Source organism: Homo sapiens, chromosome 14 (assembly GCF_000001405.40).
Source record: "Homo sapiens chromosome 14, GRCh38.p14 Primary Assembly".
NCBI classification, from domain to species: domain Eukaryota; kingdom Metazoa; phylum Chordata; class Mammalia; order Primates; family Hominidae; genus Homo; species Homo sapiens.
The window spans coordinates 63,640,151-63,665,628 of record NC_000014.9 but is presented as its reverse complement, the minus strand read 5'-3'; the positions used below and the strand labels follow the sequence as shown (position 1 = coordinate 63,665,628).

The window sequence follows — 25,478 nt, the reverse complement described above, 5'->3', positions numbered from 1 at the left end:
TAATATCATGGAAATAAAGATGCTTGAAGGTCTGGTTTTATTTATTTTGTATTTTTATTTTTTTACATAAGTTCTACAGATCTGCTGAGGAGGTATGGGTTTACATTCAATTTATCTTAATTATTGGTTTTAATATCTATCATAGATGAGAAACATAATTGAAAAAGATGCCAAGATTCAAAGAAGTAGTAAAAAATCAGGATACTCATTTTTTAGTCCTATACCCTATTTATAGAAAAATTTTTATTGAAATTCCACTAGAAATACCCATCTTCCTTAATATCAGAAGATACTGCCTTTTTAAAAATTTTCTTGAGACAAGGTCTCACTCTGTTGCCCAGGCCGGGTGACAGAGCAAGACTCCATTTCGAAAAAAAAAAAAAAAGAAAGTGGATAGAATTTTTTTTTCAAATAGTCCTCTTTGTAGTTCTCTTTTAACTGACATCTTGTTAGGTTTTATTAAACTGTCATTTTTATCACATATTTTGGCTAAGAAGAAATTATACCAGAAGTAGGAAAAGAACTAGTTCTGCCATTTTGTTGTTGTTGCTTTTATCTTCATTATTGATCTTTTCAATCCTTGTCCTCTTTGCATGATTGTTTTAAAATCATACGCTTGTTTCAGGCTATGTTCTCAAGAAGCAGAACTTGAGATGAAGATTCCTGTGCCAGCGATTCTTTTGAGAGAGTGATGTCAGCTGAAACCTGTAAGGGAGTGAGAGAAACAGAATAGGACAGAGGAAGAAGCTAGGCAAAGACATGGGTTCAGTTGAAATCTATCTTCATTTTGATCCCATGAGCAGCTCTGGAGTGTGGATGGCACCATGGACTTGTCTCTTCTTGAGGCAAGGAAGCAAGCTTTAGTATTCCTGTATTATTCAGTCGTGGGCTATGGGCCGCCTGGAGTTAGTGCAGGAGGGTGGTGGCAGAGTGTGATGTTCCTGATTAGGTAGCATCCATCATTTATGGTCAGTTCTTCACAGAAAGATACAGGTATGAACTGGTAGCAGCCAAGAGTCACAGCATGTAGGGAATGGGGACCATGACCAGTAAGTAGAATCTGGGCAGGGAACCAACACCCATTTTTTGAAGTTACTTAAGGCTAAATATTATAATTGGGAAATCTTTTACTTAACCATTGTACAATGTGTCAGCTGAAAATGAACAAACAAGTGAGAGTGACACTTAGGGAATTCATGCTCTTGTCCCTGATACTCCCTACCTGATGTGACCATCAGGCCTTCAGACTGGTGAAGATGCAAATGTCAACCTACACACTAATCTTAGTGTAGCATAAACACACCTGAGAGCAATAAGTGAAGCCTACCCTGAGAATGACCCTGTATGGCAGATGCATCTGAATGTGTGTTCTAAGCTAGGGAATCTGGGAGTGGCCAACCTGGACATTTTTTCCTTATCAATGATGAACATCTGAACCCCTGTCCTGCCCTGTTCATGGCAGTGGCAGCCCATCTGGAGCAGCCTCTCTGACAATGCTGGCTGCAGCCGGGAGGCGCGGCTGGGGCTGTGTATTCCATGGAGCAGGCAGGATCCCCACCCTCCTGGATGCACCTGCAGCCGCCCAAGCTGCAGCTGCAGGGTCGGAAATGCCTGCTCCCGCTGCCTAGCCTCTCCTTACTCCTGGAGCCCAATCAGATCTTGGTGCAAAGTTGAGGCCAAGCCAAGGTGCTGTTGCAATCCAGCCAGGTGTGCTCATTCTTGGGGCAGTGCTGACATGCCAGCCCCCTGCCGCCTTGACCCTCTCCGGGCTTTGGGCACAAACAAGCATGGGAGGGAGGCTGAGTGGGGTCTGAGGGCAGCTCAGTGCTGGGCTGCAGGCACCACTCTGCAAGAGCAGCCTGGGCACCATGAACAGTGGCAGGAGGCAGGCAGGCTCCTGGGTGGAAAGGGGAAGGTCCCTGGTGAAGCCCCGCCTTCAAGCTGGGGAAGGCGTGAAGCCTGGGGACCAGGCTGCCAGCCCTGCAGACCAGAGTGGGAATTTGTGCTTTTTTCTGGGCCCGCCCATGGCTGCCTGTGGACCAATCAGCAAGCACTTCCTTGCTGATAAAAACCTGACTCAGCCAGACTCAGGGAGATGACAGGATGACCAGCTATGGAGAGGAGCTACCCACCCCAGGGTCTCCTCTCTGCTGAGAGCCGAACACTTGATGGGACACCCTCCCTTCAAAGAGGAGCTACCCACTGTGGGTCTCTGAGCTGTTCTGTTGCTCAGTAAAGCTCTTCTTCGCCTTGCTCACCCTCCACTTGTCCACGTACCTCATTCTTTCTGGACACAGGACGAGAACTCAGGACCTGCCGCATGGCGGGTCTAAAAGAGCTGTAACACAAACAGGGCTGAAACACACCCCTTGCTTGCCACATTGCAGGAGACAAGGAGAGAAGAGCTGTGGCCCTTTGATGAGCTCAGACCTAGAAGCTCCCCAAGCCAAGGCTGTGACATACTCTTTGACACTGCATTTCCTGGCATCTCCAAGCTTCTGGGCAGCACCACGTTCCCCAGTGCCAGCTGTGGAAGCTACTTGTGGTACACCTGGTTCAGCTGCAGCTTCGCAGGGAGCCAGTGCCCGTGGTGGTGCCTGGAGCTGCCTGCCCTACTGCAGCCGATGTGCCTGGCTGTTTGCAGTGGCTGGACCCCGTGCTCACTTGCTCACACACCTGTCACCACTCCACTCCACTCATCTCAGAAGGTGTGGGATCTTGGCAGGTAGCATGAGCTGAGCACAGCCTGACAGGCTGATTCGGCCCAATGGGCCTGAGCAAAACTCAGGCAAAGGCGCCACTGGCCACAGAGGTTTCCGGCTGGAAAAGCAACACCCCCAAGGATCCCATAACACAGTGGACCAGGGGCCATACAGGGGATTTAGGCCCTGAGTTTTGGGTTGGATGCAGCTTGCCAAGTGGAGGTTGTTAGAGGGAGGGTGTTAGGTGAAAATGCTATATTAATTGCATACTATTTGCAAATGATTGTGGTTTTTCTGCGCAGCCAGTCGTCACTGGGCCATGTGGCTGTGATGTCCAGTGCACCAGCCCCGGACTATAGGCAGGGGGTCATGTTGTCCAACCTGCCACCATTGGATTGTAGGTAAGACAGATATCTTGTCCATCCCACTGCCACTGGACCATTTCTCTAATTAAGGCAATTCCCCTTTCCAGCCTGCTGCCACTGGATTCTCTTCCATGTATGTAATCCCCTAATAAAACCCCAGGTCTTATTTGCTGGTTCTGGGTCTCTCCTTTGGCCTCTTGAACCTGGTGCCTTCCTTACAGAGGTTAATAGGGGTTTGGCACAACAATTAGTAAAATTTAGTTTCCTCTTTTTAGATTACAAAAAAACAATTTAGGCCAGGCGCGGTGGTTCACACCTGTAATCCCAGCATTTTGGGAGATCGAGGCAGGTAGATCACTTGAGCTCAGGAGTTTGAGACTAGCCTGGGCAACACGGTGAAACTCCATCTCTACAAAAAATACAAAAATTAGCCGGGTGTGATGGCATGCGCCTGTAATCTCAGCTACTCGTGAGGCTGAGGCAGGAGAATCTCTTGAGCCGAGATCGCGCCATTGCACTCCAGCCTGGGCAAAAAAACAAACAAAAAAACTGACAAGTGTCATTCCCATTCTATTAGCTCTCATTAGTGTTGGGAATGCAGGGAGTTTTTTTGACAAATAAATCCTACTGGAGGATTATATAACTAATTATAGTTTAAAAAAGGGGTTCTCAAAATGTGAACCAAAGACTCCTGGGGGTCCCTAATACTCTTTCAAGGGGTCTGAAAATTCCTCCCTTTTCCTACTCCATGTCTGTATGAGGACAGGTTTGCTTCAAATACTTAAAAAAAAAATCACAATAGTTTGAAGGCAGAGTCAGATATGAGAATCCAGGTTTCTTCTATATGCCAGACAGTAAGGAGATCTGCAAATACATTAAACAGAATAACTCTTTGTTGTACCTATTTTTCTTTGTTTTAGAAAATATATTTTTCTTAAAATGTTTATGATAACATGTAATGGGTTTAATATCGCTACTCAAAAATGGGTAAATACATCTTTTTAGACTTTGGGTTTTTTTTTTTTTTTGAGTCAGAGTCTTGGTCTGTTGCTCAGGCTGGAGTGCAGTGGCTCAATCTCGGCTCACTGCAACCTCCACCTCATGGGTTCAAGCGATTCTCCTGCCTCAGCCTCCCAAGTAGCTGGGACCATAGGCGCGTGCCACCATGCCCGGCTAATTTTTGTATTTTTAGTAGAAACAGGGTTTCACCATGTTGGCCAGGATAGTCTCGATCTCTTGACCTCATGATCTGCCTGCCTTGGCCTCCCAAAGTGCTGGGATTACAGGCATGAGCCACCGCGCCCGGCCAGATTTTTGTTTTAATTTCTAATATTGAAAATATTGATAGATAGACAAAACCCACATAAACAAAAGCTCTTTGAGGCCTTCAATAATTTTTAAGAGTATTGAGGGGTCCTGAGACCAAAAAGTTTGAGAGCCACTTGTCTAGAATACTCTCTTCTTCATTCCTATTCTCCCAGCATTCTTGCATTCCATGATAGGGAGCTGTGTACCTGTATTACTCTCTCCTTGAAAAGAGGAACTGTATATTCGGCACAGTACTTAGCAGTGTTTTGCATGTACTAAAGGCTCAGTAAATATTTGGTGAATTAAAAACTGAATATTGCTGTTTTCTTCCAAATCTGCTCTTCTTTTCAAATTTATCTTTGTTTAACCCTGCTGCTCTTTATAGGCAGCCATTGACTCTTTTTTCCCTTTCGTTGCTAAAACTTCGAGGGATAGTCTTCATTTAGCTCCATGCCAAGTGTGGGGGCTAATCCAGTGTGGAGAGTTTGGGAAGGAGGCACACCAGGAATTCATTTTGCATCCTGCTAACTTTCACACTAATGTTCAAGTATTGATTTTATCATGTTATTTTTGCTCAAGAGCCTACAGAGTCCCTGTTTACTTCAGATATAAACACCTGTGCCTGTGTTCATGCCCATAACTTTATCCCATGTACCAACCTTATCTCCCATTAACTAGCAACACCTTCTCTGCAGCCAGGCTGACTGCTTCACTAGTCCCCATGCATGTGCTCTTTCCCAGAGATAAATTTTTTGCACTGGCCACTCCTGCCATCTGGCTGTTATCCATCCTTTAACCCCCGTTCAGGTCCCAAAGTCTCCATTAAATATTCTTGAATTACCTTTTTTTTTTTTTTTTTTTTTTTGAGACAGAGTCTCACTGTATTGCCTAGGCTGGAGTGCAGTGGCACAATCTCGGCTCACTGCAATCTCCACCTCCCGGGTTCAAGCAATTCTCCTGCCTCAGCCTCCCAACTAGCTGGGATTATAGGCACCCACCACCACGGCCAGCTAATTTTTGTATTCTTAGTAGAGACGGGGTTTCACCATGTTGGCCAGGTTGGTCTCGAACTCCTGACCTCAGGTGATCCACCCATCTCAGTCTCCCAGAGTGCTGGGATTACAGGCGTAAGCCACTGTGCCTGGCCTGGCCTTCTTAATTACTGTCTTATAACGCATCCTGACTGAAATAGAATCACAGCATAATGGACAAACTGATTGGTGAGCAAGGAAGAAAAAGCCTTTGTTTCTTGCGGGCGGGAGAGGGCAGGACTGGTAAGAGAAAATGTCATGTTGTCCTTCTGTACAGCCACCCACACACAAAACCTCAACCAAACAAACCAGCATTATCAAGGGCATGGAGCCAGAAATGACAGACAAACTGGGGCAAAGTGTTGCTTTTTGCCTTTCCATAGAAGAGGCCATTGTCTTTGCTTTTATTTCAGCATCGAATCCCCTGAAGTGTATTTACTTTTTATGCATCTGTTTCTGCCATTAGATAATTCATTGAGGAACTAAGGATGTCTTATTCATGTTTCTATACCCACTAGCATACCGTAGGTGCTCAATATATTTCCTTAAAGAAATGTGTGACTGGCATGGGCGAAGCTGGGGAGAAGGCTGTCAGATGAGCTCAGAAGGCAGGCTGAGGCCCTATTTAAAAGAGCGCGATGTGGCGATTTAAGCCTTGTCATGTAGGCAAAAGGGAACAGGGAAGCTAGAAAGTTTCTTTTTTTTTTTTTTGAGATGGAGTCTCGCTCTGTCACCAGGCTGGAGTGCAGTGGTGCAATCTCGGCTCACTGCAACCTCTACCTCCCGGGTTCAGGTGATTCTCCTGCTTCAGCCTCCCGAGTAGCTGGGACTACAGGCCTGAGCCACCACGCCCAGTTAATTTTTGTATTTTTAGTAGAGACGGGGTTTCACCATGTTGGCCAGGATGGTCTTGATCTCTTGACCTCGTGATCTGCCTGCCTTGGCCTCCCAAAGTGCTGGGATTACAGGCATGAGCCACTGCACCTGGCCAGTTTTTTTTTTTTTAATTTTATTTAAAATAATAAAAAAAATTAACTGCTCTACACATTCAGAGAAATTTCTCTAGTAACGAATTACAGAAATGATCCCTGAAAGTACAGTCTAAAGGTTTCTTCTTATTAATATTAATTTTTTCCCAAGGTAATACATGTTTAAATTTTTAAAAAGACATAATACAGGCTGGGTGCAGTGGCTCACGCCTGTAATCCCAGCACTTTGGGAGGCCAAGGCAGGCGGATCACGAGGTCAGGAGATTGAGACCAGCCTGGCCAACATGGTGAAACCCCGCCTCTACTAAAAATACGAAAAAATAGCTGGGCGTGGTGTTGCATACCTGTAGTCCCAGCTACTTGAGAGGTAAGGTGGGAGGATCGCTTGAGCCCCAAAGGTGGAGTGTGCAGTGAGCCCAGATTGCGCCACTGAACTCCAGCCTGGGCAACACAGCAAGACCCTGTCTCAAAAGAAAAAAGAAAAGAAAATTTTTTATGGTCACCTTAGAAAATGGGAGAAAAGGCCGGGTGCAGTGGCTCACACCTGTGTTCTCAGCACTTTGGGAAGCCCAGGTGGGCAGATCACAAGGTCAGGAGTTTGAGACCAGCCTGGCCAACATGATGAAATCCTGTCTCTACTAAAAGTACAAAAATTAGCTGGGCATAGTGGTGGACACCTGTAATCCCAGCTACTCAGAAGACTGAGGCAGGAGAATCGCTTGAACCTGGGAAGCAGAGGTTGCAGTGAACCAAGATTGCACCATTATACTCCAGCCTGGGCGACAGAATGAGACTCCATCTCAAAAATAAATAAATAAATAAATAAAGGCTGGGTGCGATGGCTCACACCTGTAATCCCAGCACTTTGGGAGGCCGAGGCAGGCAGATCACGAGGTCAAGAGATCGGGACCATCCTGGCCAACATGGTAAAACCGCATCTCTACTAAAAATACAAAAATTAGCTGTGCCTGGTGGTACTTGCCTGTAGTCCCAGCCACTCAGGAGGCTGAGGCAGAAGAATTGCTTGAACCCGGGAGGCGGAGGCTGCAGTGAGCTGAGATCGCGCCACTACACTCCAGCCTGGCGAAAGAGCGAGACTCCATCTCACAAAAATGAAAAATAATTTAAAATAAATACATAAATAAGAAAATGGGAGAAAAGCCGGGTACAGTGGCTTACACCTGTAATCCCAGCACTTTGGGAGGCTGAGTTGGGCAGATCACTTGAGGTCAGGAGTTCGAGACCAGCCTGGCCAACACAGTGAAACCCTATTTCTACTACTCGGGAGGCTGAGGTGAAAGAATTGCTTGAATCCGAGAGGGAGGCTGCAGCGAGCCAAGATCATGCCCCTGCACTCCAGCCTGGGTGATTGAGTGAGACTCCATCTAAAAAGAAAAGAAAAGAAAAGAAAAAATAAAATGGGAGAAAGAAGTGAGAAGCTCTTATGGTACTCCACTATTTAAACCAAAAGTTCATTGTAGGAGAGTTAAGGATTTTGTCTTTTTATTTATTTATTATTTATTTATTTATTTTTTGAGACAGAGTCTTCTTACTTTTGTTATCCAGGCTGGAGTGCACTAGCGTGATCTCGGCTCACTGCAACCTCCGCCTCCCGGGTTCAAGCGATTCTCCTGCCTCAGCTTCCTGAGTAACTTGGACTACAGGCGCACGCCACCACACTCAGCTAATTTTTTTATTTTTAGTAGAGGCGGGGTTTTACCATGTTAGCCAGGCTGGTCTTGAACTCCTGACATCAAGTGATCCGCCGGATATTTTAAGGCACTAAAACATTGGTGCTATTAATACAAAGGGCTGGAAGAGGTGGAAAATGGAGGCATGCAAAGTTGGTTTCAAGCTATTGCAAAATCCAAATAAATCATGACAGGCTGAATTAGGGTGTTATCCAGAGGGAGAGCAAGAGTGCATGAAAACGCTTTTTCTTCCCCACACAGTGCTATGAATGTGTGACTAAGCGCAGAGGATTAGGTTGAGCGTCAAAAGTGATGTTAAGTCTTTTAGTGTGGTTGACTGGGATGGTGAAGCCACTAAAAGAGGGAACACAGAAGTTTTTGTGGACTTTGGGACACTTACATTCAGGAGAATCAAAGGGACTGAAAGAGAACTGGGATGGAGGAGAATTAGAGGATGGTGTGGTGTTTCCCAAGACATCCCCTGATCTTGCTATCCCAGCATCTCCTAGACCTTCCCAAGATCCAGCAACTAAAAGTATAACACTTGTCACAAGAAGGCTAAGGTTGGCCTATGTTCTAATTGGGGGTGATGTGGGGGTAAGATGGGGAGTATATGGGAACACAATCACAAACTAAAGCTTATATACTAACACTTTTTTGGGAAGTTCAATGTCAAGGAAGTTGGAGTGAGCAGGAAAGGGAAGTGAGGCAGGAAGGGAGACAGCAAATACAAGAGAGAACATGAAGATGTGACACCAAGCTGGCCATACCTGTGTTAAATATTTTGAATATCTCACCCGGCAGCATACTTATCATTGGCTGAAATTACCTTACATTGTTTTTAATAAAAATAATAGATATTGTCTGTTTGCCCACGAGAAAATAAACTACATGAGGACAGGGACTTTGTTAAATGTTGTCTCTCCAGGACTCAGAATATACCTGGCGCATAATAGGTGATGAATAACATCTCTTGAGTGAATCACGTTAAAGAGAAATATTTTTCTAAATAAAACACATTCCATGTAATGTAGTACTTTATGTTATTTGTGCAGAGTGGTTTCTGTTCCTCATTTTTTATCCTCCAATTTCCTAATCACGCCCAGAGGCCTACTTGCACATAAGGAATGAGAACCATAATGATAGTTTCATGTTACAGAGTCTTCTACCTGCAGGGCTATCATCTAATACTCAAGGACCCAGCAAGGCTTTGAAATCCTTGCTTTTCCTTATCTTAGCTGATCAAATAGGTAGTTAAGGCATCTGTATGGGGAAAGAGGGAGATTTATCTTCTGCCCTGAGCATTCTCGCAGGGGCTGAGGACAAAGGGTATAATTTATCCCGCTTATACTAGGTATATATTTATGATTTTGTTTTTTGAAAGAAACAGTTTTCTTTTCACTGCGCATTTTGCTTCAAGAAGTAGTCAAATAAGGTTTTTTTGTTTGTTTGTTTGTTTTAGAGACAGAGTTTCACTCTGTTGCCCAGGCTGGAGTGCAGTGGTGTAATCCTGCAATCTCTGCTCACTGCAGCTTCTGCCTCCTAGGCTCAAGTGATCATGCCTCAGCTTCCCCAGTAGCTGGGACTACAGGCAAGCGCCACCACACCTAGCTAGTTTTTTGTATTTTTTGTTGAGACTGGGTTTCACCATTTTGCCCAGGATGGTCTCAAACTCCTGACCTCAAGTGATCCACCCACCATGGCCTCCCAACGTGCTGGGATTATAGGCGTGAGCCACTGTGCCCAACCCAAATAAGTTTTTTGTTTTTTTCCTTAAGACGGAGTCTCGCCCTGTTGCCTAGGCTGGAGTGCAGTGGCACGATCTTGGCTCACTGCAGCCTGCCTCAGCCTTCTCAGCCTGCCTCAGCCTTCTGAGTAGCTAGTACTACAGGCATGTGGCACCACGCCTGGCTAATTTTTGTATTTTTAGTAGAGATGGGGTTTAGCCATGTTGGCCAGGCCAGTCTCGAACTCATGACCTCAAGTGATCTGCCCACCTCGGCCTCCCAAAGTGCTGGGATTACAGGCGAGAGCCACCACGCCCAGCCAAGTTTTTTATGTATATTTTTTTAATGTAGGAAAAGATTTGTGGGAAAAAAAATTATTACATGCTACAAGCTTAAGTGAGAAATGACTATCAAAAGTAGTAAATTTTGTATTACAAATCAACAACTATCACGTATCTACTTTTGATATTTAAATTCAAAGGTAGGAAAATGTTAATTAGGTGAATATGTTCATGATTGAGACTATAATCTCCTTAATGTTCCTTTTATGATCTACTCTCAAACCTAGGAGTAAATTTCACTTCATTAGCCTCATAGCAATCATCTGTAATCATCTGATTACAAACGTACTCAAGCTGCAGGCTTTCACTGTGACTCTGTATTTTATATCCTTCATCATCAAAACATGTTTTTAAAAATGGGAGAAAACATGGCTTTGTTGCAATGTGTTATTATTACTGCATACATAATACGTTCCTGGCAATCATCAGAGCCATCTTTATAATGCTTGGCTTATCTTAGGACACCATGTTATCTAGCAAAAAAATTTTAACCTAATGCTTAGAAAATTAAATCCAACTTTTTTTTTTTTTTTTTTTTTTTTTGTGACGGAGTCTCACTCTGTCGCCCAGGCTGGAGTGCAGTGGCACGATCTTGGCTCACTGCAAACTCCGCCCCCAGGGTTCAAGCAATTGTCCTGCCTCAGCCTCCCAAGTAGCTGGGATTACAGGTGCCCACCACCACACCCAGCTAATCTTTGTATTTTTAGTAGAGATGGGGTTACACCATGTTGGCCAGGCTGCTCTCCAACTCCTGTCCTTAGGTGATCCACCCACCTCAGCCTCCCAAAGTGCTAGGATTACAGGCGTTAGCCACCCTACCTGGCCAGATCCAACTCTTACTAAATACTTCTCTAGGATATGAGATGAGAGAGTCAAATAATATGTAAATCCAGAAATAAGTAGGCAATGAGTAGGGATATTGGTATGATTAGGAGTCATTGGTATTTGAGTCTGAGGCAAAAGTTCCAGAAGGCCTACAAAAGAAAACAGAAGCCTTTCATATTTCTTTTATAGCTCAAATAGTTTTGTATTATTGTGTCACATACATCAGTTAGAGATCATATGATAAAAAAGAAGAGGTCGGGCCATCTCAAAAAAAAAAAAAAAAGAAAAAAAAATCCTAAAAATACCACATCAGTCTGGTAGTCTTTTTTTTTTTTTTTTTTTTTTGAGATGGAGTTTTGCTCTGTTGCCCAGGCTGGAGTGCAGTGGTGCAATCTCAGTTCACTGCAACCTCCACTGCCCAGTTTCAAGCGATTCTTCTGCCTCAGCCTCCTGAGTAGCTGGCATTACAGGTGCGCTACCACACCCAGTTAATTTTTGTATTTTTAGTAGAGACAAGGTTTCGCCATGTTGGCCAGGCTAGTCTCGAACCCCTGACCACAGGTGATCCTCCCACCTTGGCCTCCCAAAGTGCTGGGATTACAGGCATGAGCCAAGCGCCCAGCCTTGGTAGTCTTATTTCACATAAATTCATATCAACTTCACAACAACTCTCTTTTAAATATTAAATAAAAGAAATCTACATTTCTTTGCCTATAATTTTCTTCTTTTTTGTTTTGAGACAGGATCTGACTCTGTCGCCCAGACTGGAGTGCAGTGGAGAGATCTGGGCTCACTGCAACCTCCGCCTCCTGGGCTCAAGCAATCCTCCTGCCTCATCCCCCAAGTAGCTGGGAGTAAAGGCATAAGCCACCATGCCCTGCTAATTTTTGTATTTTTTTTGTAGAGATGGGGTTTCACTATGTTGCTCGGGCTGGTCTCAAACTCCTGAGCTCAAGTGATCCATCAGCCTCGGCCTCCCTAAGTGTTATGATTACAGGCGTGAGCCACTGCGCCCAGCCTGCGTATAGTTTTCACATATTGCATTTAAACTTTCTTAATTCTACCTCCTGGATGGTGTACATTCCTAGTCCTATCATTAATTTTTCTTTTTTTCAAGGTTCATTTTCAACAATTAAAGGGCTCAGCAAACATATCCTTTTTGGGGCTGGGCGCGGTGACTCACACCTGTAATCCCAGCACTTTGGGAGGCCGAGGTGGGTGGATCACTTGAGGTCAGGAGTATGAGACCAGCCTGGCCAACATGGCGAAACCTCGTCTCTACTAAAAATACAAAAATGAGCTGGGTGTGATAGCGCACCTGTAATGCCAGCTACTCAGGAGGCTGAGGTAGGAGAATCACTTGAACCTGGGAGGCGGAGGTTGCAGGGAGCCGAGATCGTGCCACTGCACTCCATCCAGCCTGGGCAACAAAGGGAGACTCTGTCTCAAAAAAACAACAAAGGCCAGGCGTGGTGGCTCATTCCTGTAATCCCAGCACTTTGGGAGGCTGAGGCAGGTGAATCACCTGAGGTCAGGAGTTCGAGACCAGTCTGACCAATATGATGAAACTCTACTAAAAATACAAAAATTAGCTGTGTGTGGTGGCATGCACCTGTAATCCCAGCTACTCGGGAGGCTGAGACAGGAGAATCACTTGAACCTGGGAGGTGGAGGGTGCAGTGAGCTGAGATCACACCATTGTACTCCAGCCTGGGCAACAAGAGTGAAACTCTGTCTCAAAACAAAAAACAAAAAACAAAAAAAAACCCAACATATCCTTTTTTGTCATCCTTCCTGTAATCTCACAAAGTAAGGGGTATAGGTAGAGGAAGAGTTGGAACTTCAACTTATAATTCCTGAATGCCTACACTGTGCTATCTTACTTTTATTGTTACTTAATTTTCATAAAACCCCTGAACAAGAGACATTGTCACTTGATGAGTAATTTGGAGTTTAGAGGAAAATAAAATACCTTGCTCAAAATCACATATCTAGCTTTGAGTAATAGTGCTTATTAAAACATCTGCTTTGGGCCTGCTGTGATGGCTCATATCTGTAATCCCGCCACCTTGGGTGGCCAAAGAGGGAGGATCGCTTGAGCTCAAGAGTTTGAGATCAACCTGAGCAACATAGTGAGACCTCGTCTCTATTTAAAAAAAAATTTTCAAATTAAAAACAAGTGTTCATGATATCATTTTTCTCTACCTTTTTTCTACTGTTTCCACACTAAAAAAGATTATAAAAGTAAGTAGCCTGACAAACAGAATTAGAATAAAATAGGTGCAAGGAGAGAGCAGAAAAAAACAGTGTAATTGGTTGAATTTAGCTTAGCAATAACTTTCTCAGCTCTTAATTTATATATATTTAGAACCAATCTTGTAGTACATGCTCCAAATCAACTACATATGAATTGGCAAATAGGTATTTAAAAATCTTTGTTTTTTTTTTTTTTTGTATTTTTTTTTTTTTGTCTGAGACGGAGTCTTGCTCTGTCGCCCAGGCTGGGGTGCAGTGGCACAATCTCAGCTCACTGCAACCTCTGCCTCCTGGGTTCAAGGGATTCCTGTGCCTCAGCCTCCTGAGTGGCTGGGACTACAGGTGTGCACCACCATGCCCAGCTAATTTTTGTATTTTTAGTAGAGACGGGTTTTCACCATGTTGGCCAGGCTGATCTCGAACTCCTGACCTCAAGTGATCTGCCCACCTTGGCCTCTCAAAGTGTTGGGATTAAAGGCGTGACCCACCTTGCCCAGCACAAAATCTGAATTAAGAAAGAAGTGAACTTCTTTTCACAGAATAAGGATCCCAAGCTGCTCCTTTTGGCCCTGACCTGGCGCAGTGGCTCACCCCTGTAATCCCAGCACTTTGGGAGGCCGAGGCGGGTGGATCACCTGAGGTAGGGAGTTCTAGACCAGCCTGACCAACACGGAGAAACCGTCTCTACTAAAAATACAAAATTAGCTGGACATGGTGGCACATGCCTATAATCCCAGCTACTTGGGAGGCTGAGGCAGGAGAATTGCTTGAACCCGGGAGGTGGAGGTTGCAGTGAGTGGAGATCGTGCCATTGCACTCCAGCCTGGGCAACAAGAGCAAAATTCCATCAAAAACAGAACAAAACAAAAAAAACCACCACAAAAATAAAGTATCAAGACCATATTTTCAGGGATCATTTCTATAGTTCATTCATTACTAGAGAAGTTTCTCTGAACATGCAGGGCACCGCAAACCATGAGGAAGAGGCACAGCATTCTCTTCTGAGCCTGAAGCCAGCTCTTCTTGCTTCACTGCCATTTGCCCTTCATGATCATTCTCTTCCTGCAGGAGAGTAAGAAAGGATGCAGTCTGAGTGGTTCCTGTCTAAAAAATAATAAAATAAAATAAAAGTATGGTCCTAATTCTTATTTTTTATTTATTTTTTTGAGACGGAGTCTCTCTCTTGTTGCCCAGGCTGGAGTGCAATGACGCAATCTTGGCTCACTGCAACCTCTGCCTCCAGGGTTCAAGTGATTCTCCTGCCTCAGCCTCCCAAGTAGCTAGGATTACAGGTGCCTGCCACCATGCCAGGCTAAGTTTTGTATTTTTAGTAGAGACAGGCTTTTACCATGTTGGCCAGGCTGGCCTTGAACTCCTGACCTCAGGTGATCCACCCACCTTGGCCTCCTAAAGTGCTGGAATTCTGGCCTCTAATTCTTAAATAGAAGACCCAGACACTGGTTTGTCAGATAGTCTGGCCTTCCTTTTTTCTCCTCTTAACTCCATTTAGTGTAGCTATTTTACTATTTGTTCACTCTTTTAGCTTGAAAGTGGCAGGAAGAAAAAAAAAAGAAAAAAAAGAAAGTGGCATGAAGAGAACATACTGCTTAAACCAATCAATTCACCACTTTTGGCAGCTCTGTGAAAAGGTTTTCTGGAGGTGGGTGGGATTTTTGATTAACATAATTATCGGTTTCAGAGCTAGCCCTGCCTCTTCGTCAACTTTCTTCTTTCTAAACTAAAAAGGGTAATAGTAAAGTGCATCTTAAAACTGAAGGAATTAAAACAGCACCACCTCTTATCTTTAGAAGAGCAGTTTGGCACACTGACTGGTATAAACCAGCTGGCACCCTTCACAGGATGTTCTCACCACCACCCACCCTCTGGTTTCAAAGGCAGTCTTGTTGACATTTTCAGAAACTCTAGAGCTGGTGGCTTCCAGAAGTACTCCTTACGTAGTAGAGGCAGGCATGCATGCCTAGGAGTGGGCCTTACATGTATTGGGAAACCTTCAAGAGGCCCTGGGATTCCAGATTTGGGCAAAAGAATATGGTGCTTAAGATTGGAGCCAGAGACTTCAAAAAGAGAGTATTAGGTCAGGGTCTTAAGGACTAGCCAGTGGAATGAGGCAGAAAGTTAGAGAGCCAGGCTGGAATGGAGTGTGAGGTTAGGGCTGTTCCTTTTAAATGTATTTTAACAGAGGGGGAATACTGAGCCAAGATTGGACCACTGCATTCCAGACTGAGCTATGGAGCAAGACCCTGCCACAACAACAAACAAAAAAAAAGAGGGGAAAATAGGATTAGTTTGTACATCTTGTATGCTTATACTGACTCACTCCCACAAATATAAGACTGTCAACCTAAAGAAAGTGAGGCAAAAATTAATATAAGTAGAGTTTATTTAGGTCGAATTTGAGGACTGCAACCTGGGAGAGACAGATTCAAGTTGCCTTGAATATATGCTCTGATTAGCAGCATATATTCAGGTGGGTTTTAAAAAGTGGGGCAGTTCTTATATTGGTTCATTCAAATAACATAAGCTATTGATTGGCAATACACTGTTCCTTGTATAACAAATTCCAGGAACATGAAGATAATGGGTGAGGCTCCTACTCTGCAACTTTAACAACATTTTAGGTAATTTATCAGCTAGTCTGGCAACTACAGGGAAAGAAAGAATAAAATGTCTTTATCATATATATGTATACATATGATACACATATGTACATATGATATATATACATATATACATGTATATATACATATATCGCTGTGTCAAGCCTCACTCTGTCATCGCTGTGACAGAGCGTCGCGATGACAGAGCCTCACTCTGTTGCCCAGGCTGGAGTGCAGTGGTGCGATCTTGACTCACTGCAAGCTCCGCCTCCTTGGTTCAAGCGGATTCTCCTGCCTCAGCCGCCCGAGTAGCTGGGATTACAGGAACGGCTAATTTTTGTATTTTTAGTAGAGATGGGGTTTTACCATGTTGGTCAGGCTGGTCTCAGAACTCCTGGCCTCAAGTGATCCATGTGCCTTGCCTCCCAGAGTGCTGGGATCATAGGCGTAAGCCGCCACACCCGGACAGAATAAAATGTCTTTAAACAGTTGCCCCTGGGTATTGAAACAGCCTTTGCAAAATTACAACTGATGAAATTATACCTGAGGAAATTATGACAGTGAAATAAATCAGACCTAATTGACTCCATCTTGCTTCTAGCCTTTAAGCTGTCCTTGTTCGTTCCTGCGCGTAGGCCAAGCTAACTTTGGGAAGGAATTCAGTTCATGGTTTGACTATGAAACAAAATTGATGACATGGCCAGGCGCGGTGGCTCACGCCTGTAATCCCAGCACTTTGGAAGGATGAGGCAGGCAGATTATTTGAGGTCAGGAGTTCAAGACTAGCCTGGCCAACATGGTGAAACCCTGTCTCTACTAAAAATACAAAAATTATCTGGGCATGGTGGCAGGCACCTGTAATGCCAGCTGCTCAGGAGGCTGAGGCAGGAGAATCACCTGAACCCAGGAGGTGGACATTGCAGTGAGCCAAGATCACACCACTGCACTCTAGCCTGAGTGACAGAGAAAGACTCTGTCTCAAAAAATCAAATAAAATAAACTGATAAACTGATAACAGCCCTTTCCCATAAAGACCCCCTTCTTGCCTGGGGACCAGTCTGCCTTTGCAGGACTAACAAATTAGCTATGAGATTAGAAATTACAGGGCCGGGCAAGGTGGCTCACACCTGTAATATCAGCACTTTGGGAGGCCAAGGTGGGCGGATCACCTGAGTTTGGGAGTTCGAGACCAGCCTGACAAACATGGACAAACCCCCTCTCTACTAAAAATACAAAATTAGCTGGGCTTGGTGGTGGGCACCTGTAATCCCAACTACTCAGGAGGCCGAGGCAGGAGAATCGCTTGAACCCGGGAGCCGGAGGTTGCGGAGAGCTGAAATCGTGCCATTGTACTCCAGCCTGGGCAACAAGAGCAAAACTCCGTCTCAAAAAAAAGAGATTAGAAATTAGTTTACGGGTCATGCAACCATGCAACCTCTGGCTCCTCTGAACCTCCTCAAATTGCTCCTGGAGATAACATCACTTTTGTAAAACCTAAGATCAGTGCTTGAGATATTTTGCAGACCCTGCACTCGGTGGATCAGCTGACACCACCCAGACCCAGATCAGTAATCTGGCTCAACCAGTTCTGCCATCCCACCCAGGAACAGAAGACAGCAAGAAAAACTCACTTCGACCCCCTATGATTCCATCCCCAACCTGACCAATCAGTACTTCCCCCTTCCCAAGTCCCTACTTGTCAAATTGTCTTTAAAAACTCTGATGAAGCTCAAGGATACTGATTTGAGTAATAATACTTGTCTCCCACACAGCCGGTTCTATGTGAATTACTCTTTCTCCATGCAATTCCCCTGTCTTGATAAATCAGCTCTGTCTAGGCAGTGGGGAAGGTGAATCCACTGGGCAGTTACAGTGTGGGTTGGTGTGGGTGGGGGATGACTGAGGTCTCAAAAGTCATGTCTCTGTAAGCCTAACAAGTTTTGCATACTTCACATAGCTTAGGCTGCTCTGAGTTGCTGTTCCTTCTCTTTTTTTTTGAGATGGAGTCTCACTGTTGCCCAGGATGGAGTGATGTGATCGTTAACTCACTGCAGCCTTGAACTCCTGGGATCAAGTAATGCTCCTGCCTCAGCCTCCCAAAGTGCTGGGATTACAGGCATGAGCAACCGCGTCCAGCCAAAATTCTGCTTTAGACTGCAGCTTCAGCTCATGCCTGAGTTCCAGCCTGCCTTTCCTGATGGCTTGCTCTGCCGATTTTACACTTACCTAGGGAGCTGCCACAACTGTATGTCAACTCCTTGCCAAAAAAACCCTTAATATATGTCTCCTATTGATTTTATTTTCCTGATGGAGCCCTGATACAGTGACTGGGCGTGAGAACTTGCAAGTAGTATGACATACAATTTTTTTTTTTTAAGAGAGGGTCTTGCTATATTGCTCAGGCTGGTCTTGAACTTCTGGGCTCAAGTGATCCTCTTGCTTCAGCTTCCCAAGTAGCTGGGATTACAAGGGTGCACCACTGCACCCAGCTCATTAGTTACTTATTTAAGTATTGTGTATAATTTGGACTTCATGGCATATTTTAACAATATATATGAGTGTATGTGTGGGTGTATATAATTTTTAATGGTAAATCGTTTCTTAATGACTTAAACCCTTAACGCTGCAATTTAAAACCATTTCTTTACATTTTTTTTCATGGTAGTATCAACCTAAAAGGAAGAAGTTGAGGCAAAAGTAACTTTTGAGGGGGCTAAGCTTGAGGATTGCATTTCAGGACACTTCCAAGTTGCCTTGAGTGCTCCAGAGAACAAAACAGAGAGAGGCTCAAGTTTTTGAAGAAAATAGGATGAATCAGGAGAAGGGACAATTTAAAAACTTGTTCATTAGGAATTCTCATTGGTTTACAGAAATAACATTGGCTAGTGATTGGCTATACACTGTTGAACTACAGGATGCATGGCATTGTATGGCTACTTGGCGTCAGTCTAGAGACTATATAACAAATGGCTTCAAGAGTAATTATTTAGTTCAACAGAGAGTGAGACAAGAATGCTGTTACATTGCAAATGCCTCCCTGGGCCTGATAATTTAAAGGGGCTTGCATTCTGTTTTTATTTTTTTTTTTCTTTTGAGACAGAGTCTCACTCTGTTGCCCAGGCTGGAGTGCAATGGCACAGTCTTGGCTTACTGCAACCTCTGCCTCCCAAGTTCAAGCGATTCTCCTGCCTCAGCCTCCCCAGTAGCTGGGAATACAGGCACCCGCCACCACACCTGGCTAATTTTTGTATTTTTAGTACAGACAGGATTTCACCATGTTGGTCAGGCTGGTCTCGAACTGCTGACCTCATGATCCACCCACCTCGGCCTCCCAAAGTGCTGGGATTACAGGCGTGAGCCATCATGCCCGGCCAGGGCTTGCATTCTTCAGATAAAAAGTTTTTTTTTTTTTTCTAAGTAGCTCTTAAGTGACAAATTAAAGAATAGCATTCAGCCTATTTTTTTTTCTACTTTAGATATAAGAACTCAAGTTTTCCTTCATATCAGCAATACATTCTGCAAACCAAAGAGTATCTGAGACAAGCCTCATCAATTTAGGAAGTTTACTTTGCCAAGGTCAAGGATGTGCCCACGGCAGCCTCCAGAGGTCCTGAGGACATGTGCCCAAGGTGTTCAGGGCACAGCTGGGTTGTATACATTTTAGGGAGACGAGACATCAATTAATATATGTAATGTACATTGGTTCAGTCTGGAAAGGTGGAATAACTTGAAGTAGGGAGGAAGTCCACAAGGAATTTCCTTGTGGCAAATTGTGATGAAGGAGGTAAGCAGTTGTTTTATCCTTGCAGCTATCTCATTGAGGAATAGAATGGGAGGCAGGTTTGCCCGACACAGTTCCCAGCTTGACTTTTCCTTTTGGCTTAGTGATTTTGGGGTCCTGAGATTATTTTCTTTTCACAGTTCTAACCACCTGAGCTAACTGGCCAATACCATTCTTTCATATTAGATACTAACTAAAACATTTGTGTTTTTTTCTTTGACTTCTCTCCCCACAAGATCTTCAAATTGCAGTTGTCATGTCCCAACTCCAAATATGGTTTTGATCACATATTTCTCAAAAAAATTTTACCACTTACTCAATACATATATATTTTTACATATACATTGCAAAAATGGCCAGGCTTAGTGGCTCATGTCTGTAATCTTGGCTCTTTGGAGGCCGAGGTGGAAGGATCCACTTGAGGCCAGGAGTTTGAGACCAGCCTGGCCAACATAGTGAGACCCTGCCCCTATTAAAGAAAAAAAAAAAGGGCCAGGCATGGTGGCTCACCTGAGATCGGGACTTCGAGACCAGCCTGACCAACATAGAGAAACTCCATCTCTACTCAAAATACAATTAGCCAGGCATAGTGGTGAATGCCTGTAATCCCAGCTACTGGGGAGGCTGAGGCAGGAGAATCGCTTGAATCCGGGAGGCAGAGGTTGTGGTGAGCCAGATCACACCACTGCACTCCAGCCTTGGCAACAACAGCGAAACTCTGTCTCAAAACAAAACAAAAAACAAACAAACAAAAAAAGATTTTTAAAAAAGCTTATATTGTTATATGTAAAAAATTTAAAAACACAGAAATGTAAAGAAAAATGTTGAGAATAAAAAGGACATACAAATAAGGGTTCTAATATTCTCTTCCTGCATCTCAAGAGTCGTTTCATTCATCTCACTTTGAGTTTACTTGGTTCTTTTTTTTGTTTAGTTTTGTTTTAGACAGGGTCTCACTCTGTCATCCAGGCTGGAGTGCAGTGTTGAGATGATGATTCATTGTAACCTCTGTCTCCTGGGCTGAAGCAATCCTCCCATTTCAGCCTCCCAAACTGCTGGGATTACAGGTGTGCACTACCATACCCAGCCTGAGTTCACTTCTTAAACTATTTCCCAACAGAGTACAAAGATGATTCACAGGTTCACACTGTTAAAGGTAGTAATGGTGCCTGTTTAAATATGTTTTTTAAATTCTCAAAATAATAATTTTTTTCTTTAAAATAGAACATTTTGGCCGGCTCAGTGGTTCACACCTGTAATCCCAGCACTTTGGGAGGCCAAGACAGGTGGATCTCTTGAGGCCAGGAGCTCAAGACCAGCCTGGCCAACATAGCAAAACCCAGTGTCTGCTGAAAATAGAAAAAATTAGCTGGGTGTGGTGGCACGCGCCTGTAATCCCTGCTATTCGGGAGGCTGAAGCATGAGAATTGCTTGAACCTGGGAGGTGGAGGTTGCAATAAGCCGAGATTGTGCCACTGCACTCCAGCCTGGGTGACAGAGGGAGACTCTGTCTCAAAAATAAACAAATGAAACATTTTAGAAGCTTCCAAAAGTGCTGAGAGAACACTTAGAATTTAAATCAGCCAAATGTGGCCACAGTTTAGTCACTCAGCTGATCTATCATTCAGCTAAACAGCGCTAACCACAGTAGCCTTGATTCAGTTTTTAATGGTGTTTATTCTTAGTTATATGACATTTAATTAACATGTTAAATGAACTACTGATTTAAAATAAGAGGCAAAAGGAAAATACCATTAAAATGCTAGCTAATGAAAAGCATTAAAAATATAATTCTGCATTTTTGCCAGAGTCATCTTCACCCATCCATATGTTTCACCTACTACATCACATAGAATATTACAAGGATAAATATATCGATGATTTACACCCAATTTCGCTCTTCATTTATTGGGAATAAAAACGAGCATAAGCTTGTAATCCCAGCACTTTGGGAAGCCGAGGCAGGAGCCTCGTTTGAACTCAGGAGTTCGAGACCAGCCTGGGCAACATAGCGAATCTCTGTCTACACAAAAAATATGGCCGGGCGCAGTGGCTCACGCCTGTAATCCTAGCACTTTGGGAGGCCGAGGCAGGTGGATCACAAGCTCAGGAGTTTGAGACCATCCTGGCTAACACAGTGAAACCCCGTCTCTACTAAAAATACAAAAGATTAGCCGGGCATGGTGGCATGTGCCTGTAGTCCCAGCTACTTGGGAGGCTGAGGCAGGAGAATCTCTTGAACCCGGGAGGCGGAGGTTGTAGTGAGCTGAGATCGCGCCACTGCACTCCAGCCTGGGCGACAGAGCGAGACTCCATCTCAAAAAAAAAAAAAAAAAAAAAAAATCTGGGCTTGGTGGCGTGTGCCAGTAGTCTCAGCAATTCAGGAGGCTGAGGTGGCAGGCTCACTTGAGCCCAGGACGTCGAGGCTGCAGTGAACCATGATCCCACCTCCTGCCAGTGCACTCCAGCCTGGATGACAGAGCGAGACCCTGTCTCCAAAACAAAACAAAACAAAGAGCTAAATCGGTAATGTTTCCTTTACAAACAACCTGAAACCTTCTCTAATCATTTAGAAATAAGATACAAAAATGACAAAAATAATTCGATATTTTAAACAAAAATGCAATAATTACAAGCATCAGTAATGAACGCAGTTTTTGCTTAGCTTTAATTCTGTAAAGTGTACTTAATTTTAATCTAGAAGTGTAGAAGTATTACATACATCCGAAATCATGTTTTTTTCTTCTACAGTCGAAAGTTTGTATTACATGTAAAATAGGAAAAAAATATTAAAATTTTTCGAAAGCGAAAAGTCTACTCAGCAAGTTTTTGGTATTTATTAATGGTTTTACTTTTGCTAGACACAAAAATGAAATACCGCTAAATTAGCTCACAGAAGAGTTCAGGATTCTATAGACTCAGGAAAAGCCTGTCCTAAAACTGTTTTAATAAAGGCTGAAAATAGACACTATAATACAGTCTTTAATAATATACAATGTGTATTCCTCCTGATGGTGGTCTTGCTTGACATTTTAAGCATAGCCCTATTTTCCTGTGAAGATAGCAGCCAGTTCTGCTTCATGTCATAACAACACTTGATTCATGTAAGCAGCTGCTACCTATGCCATCACAGTACACATAATTGCTAAATGTAGGGTTCAAATAATCGTAAATGGACACTAATATGAAAATCAGACTGTTTTGTTGTAACAGCAAAAGTTTTAGAAACAAATAATTTTAGTATCTACTTAGTACAGTAAGCATGAACATATAGTATACAGCTAGGCACAGCAGTAAATTGTTGGAAACACTAACATTTATTGTTTACGAACATACATGCAGTGTTTACACATTTCTTAAATGTTGTCTTTAATGCTGCTGATAAACGAAAGGATAAAAAGTCCAACAAACCACAATAAATGTCAATGGGTGTTATTAACAACATGAAAGAACTCAGTAGCAACAACCACATTTAAAGCTACAGGACTCGAAAGTTCCGGACTACAAATCCCAGAGTTCCCTAGAGCCCAGGCGGAGCTACCTTCAAACTGATCGCTTTTTCACCCAATGACAGCCAGAGAATCCCTAAACCACATTCAGCCCGGCCTGAAGGGCTGGTTTCTTCGCGTGAAAACAATAAGGTATTACGTAGACTTTCTGAACACGAGTGGTAGTTTCAGGGCCTGAGTCTAACTACTAAATTATTTCTCCCCGCATTAGTCTCCTAGTCATCTTAATAACTCTCTACCCAACTCTGGCTCGGTGGAAACTCGGAACGTCTAAATGCTGAAACTCACGTAAATCAGTACCAGCGGATGCATCCAGTCAGCCACGAGGAAGGCGGAATCCGCCTTATTCTTGCCCTTTATTGGCCACGCATCCCACCAATGGGGCCATTAAACTTCCGCTAACGCAGCGTACGGCGTGGTGGTGTGAGCGTTGTACGTACGCTGGGTCTACGAAGGGGCAGGCGTTCTGCTTTCGTCCAATCGGAAGCTAGCAAGAATTCCCCGGGCCGCTATGCCCCACTTCTTTCGCGTCGCGTTACGGGCCGCCTCTCTGCAGCCGACCAATCCTCTTGATTTTCTTGTGCGCATTACCCAATCAGAGAGGTCGAGGCGGGGTTCCACTTGACCGCTCTAAGCCGCCGCGCAGCCTGCGTTTTCTCCGGTACAGGTTGAGGCTACTAAGGTACATTTTGCTGGGCCAGGCTGGGCGGGTCCCCGGGATGGGCAGCCCTCTCGACGAGCGGCGACGCCGTGGTTGAGTCTAGAAAGCTAGAGTTGCTGGACAGCTATCGCGGGAGCGCGGAGGGAAGTGGGAGGTCTGGACGGAGTGTGCACGTGTTGGCAGTCTCGCTCCGCCGTCGGAGCCACCAGGTCAAACCTGTGCTGGCCCTGGCCAAAGAAACTTCTGCGGGTCAGGCTGCTGTTGCCGGTGCAGTTCCCAGTACTTCCTCTGGGGCGTTTTTCAATAAAAGCCAAACGCCCTTGCTCATTTTCAGGGAAAGACCTGTTTCCTCCTGCTCTTTCCTCTCCACGGATACTCTCCCCACCACTAAAAGGGTTTAGTATAATCCTTTTGTAGGCCAGAAAGCAGATTTTCACTTGGGAAGAGACGACCCGTAGTATGGGATGTGGTATGATACCAGCAACTGGTCTATTATATCATTTAAACCACATGGCTATCTAAAGAGGTAGGTACTGTGAGTGTTCTCATTTTCACGCGAAGCAGTGTTAGACATTACTCATTCTTGTGTTTTCTTTAGCTTGTCTCTGACAAATTGTGGCATTCAGCTTCCATGGATGTAAAATTAAAAGATGGTATAATTTGTAAAATGTTGCTCCTGTTTTCTTTTTTGTTTTTCTTTTTCTTTTTCTTTTTTTTTTTTTTTTTTGAGATGGAGTCTCAGGCTGTCGCGCAGGCTGGAGTGCAGTGGGGCGATCTCGGCTTACTGCAACCTCCGCCCCCCGGGTTCAAGCGATTCTCCAGCCTCAGCCTCCCGAGTAGCCGGGATTATAGGCGCCTGGCACCACGCCCGGCTAATTTTTGTATTTTTAGTAGAGACGGGATTTCACCATACTGGTCAGGCCGGTCTCGAACTCCTGACTTCAGGTGATCCACTCGCCTCTGCCTCCCAAAGTGCTGGGATTACAGGCGTGAGCCACCGTGCCCGGCCGTTTTCTTTATTAATTTGAAATTATTTAAAGTCAATAAAAGCCTGGGCGCGGTGGCTCACGCCAGTAATCCCAGCACTTTGGGAGGCCGAGGCGGGCGGATCACGAGGTCAGGAGTTCGAGACCAGCCTGGTCAACATGGTGAAACCCCCGTCTCTACTACGAATGCAAAAATGTGGCGGGCGCCTGTAGTCCCAGCTACTCGGGAGGCTGAGGCAGGAGAATCGCTTGAACCCGGGAGGCAGAGGTTGCAGTGAGCCAAGATCGTGCTACTGTACTCCAGCCTGGGCGACAGAGTGAGACAACGTCTCAAAAAAGAGAAAAAAAAAAGTCAATAAAACACACCTAGAAGTGAATTAATCGATTGTTACCAAGGTAAAATGATCTAGAGGAAAGACATCGCAGTAGGCACCAGTTACTGACCTTTGACTGGACAAGTCAGCATCAGCTTTTTCACCTGTATAATTGAAATAAATACCAAACTTGACTACTTAGAGTTCTGAGGATTAAATAATTTAATAGATACAAAATATGTTACCGATGAAAGCCACGTGACTGTTTCTGCTTTTCAAATTCTTTCTTGTGGAGCCTGGACTGCACTGCAACCTATGGCCGAGTAAAACAGTGGTAACTTGCAGTCAAGTACCATTTAAGTGAGAAATCCTCT

At 44.3% G+C, this 25,478-nt stretch overlaps 1 protein-coding gene, 1 long non-coding RNA gene and 2 pseudogenes across 12 annotated transcripts in view, besides 5 other annotated features; 2 read left to right on the top strand and 2 right to left on the bottom strand.

Annotated features, from left to right (window-relative positions):
* Positions 1 to 223: 223 nt before the first annotated feature.
* LOC105370532 (uncharacterized) lies at positions 224 to 23,568 on the bottom strand. 2 transcript variants are annotated; one of them, XR_001750790.3, is made up of 3 exons: positions 23,432 to 23,568; positions 14,173 to 14,297; positions 224 to 705 (listed from the first exon to the last, which is right to left on the bottom strand). It is a non-coding gene; the product is annotated as an uncharacterized LOC105370532 (long non-coding RNA). The 2 variants fall into 2 exon arrangements; XR_943939.4 differs by lacking the exon at positions 224 to 705 and having other exon boundaries at positions 14,139 to 14,297.
* Positions 2,183 to 3,183: an enhancer, noted in NCBI's record as "H3K4me1 hESC enhancer chr14:64129164-64130164 (GRCh37/hg19 assembly coordinates)". NCBI's record gives its function as "activates a minimal SCP1, AML or CMV promoter by ChIP-STARR-seq in primed H9 embryonic stem cells {active_cell/tissue: H9 hESC(primed)}" and the evidence as "EXISTENCE:reporter gene assay evidence [ECO:0000049][PMID:30033119]".
* LOC124903439 (uncharacterized) lies at positions 6,437 to 6,510 on the bottom strand (annotated as a pseudogene).
* LOC124903437 (uncharacterized) lies at positions 14,130 to 14,333 on the top strand (annotated as a pseudogene).
* Positions 14,968 to 15,127: an enhancer, noted in NCBI's record as "active region_8513". NCBI's record gives its function as "activates an Ori minimal core promoter by ATAC-STARR-seq in GM12878 lymphoblastoid cells {active_cell/tissue: GM12878}" and the evidence as "EXISTENCE:reporter gene assay evidence [ECO:0000049][PMID:35858748]".
* Positions 23,177 to 23,446: an enhancer, noted in NCBI's record as "active region_8512". NCBI's record gives its function as "activates an Ori minimal core promoter by ATAC-STARR-seq in GM12878 lymphoblastoid cells {active_cell/tissue: GM12878}" and the evidence as "EXISTENCE:reporter gene assay evidence [ECO:0000049][PMID:35858748]".
* Positions 23,511 to 24,170: an enhancer, noted in NCBI's record as "NANOG-H3K27ac-H3K4me1 hESC enhancer chr14:64108177-64108836 (GRCh37/hg19 assembly coordinates)". NCBI's record gives its function as "activates a minimal SCP1, AML or CMV promoter by ChIP-STARR-seq in primed H9 embryonic stem cells {active_cell/tissue: H9 hESC(primed)}" and the evidence as "EXISTENCE:reporter gene assay evidence [ECO:0000049][PMID:30033119]".
* WDR89 (WD repeat domain 89) overlaps positions 23,758 to 25,478 on the top strand; it is a 44,833-nt gene continuing 43,112 nt past the window's right edge. For 7 of the 10 annotated variants that reach the window (NM_080666.4, NM_001382424.1, NM_001382427.1 and 4 more), the window contains exon 1: positions 23,758 to 23,825. The gene's annotated coding sequence lies outside the window, so the exon portion shown is untranslated. Of the gene's footprint in view, positions 24,331 to 25,478 lie in introns of all 10 variants that reach the window. The other 3 variants (NM_001008726.3, NM_001382426.1, NM_001258272.2) reach the window with 3 other exon arrangements.
* Positions 23,857 to 23,956: an enhancer, noted in NCBI's record as "active region_8511". NCBI's record gives its function as "activates an Ori minimal core promoter by ATAC-STARR-seq in GM12878 lymphoblastoid cells {active_cell/tissue: GM12878}" and the evidence as "EXISTENCE:reporter gene assay evidence [ECO:0000049][PMID:35858748]".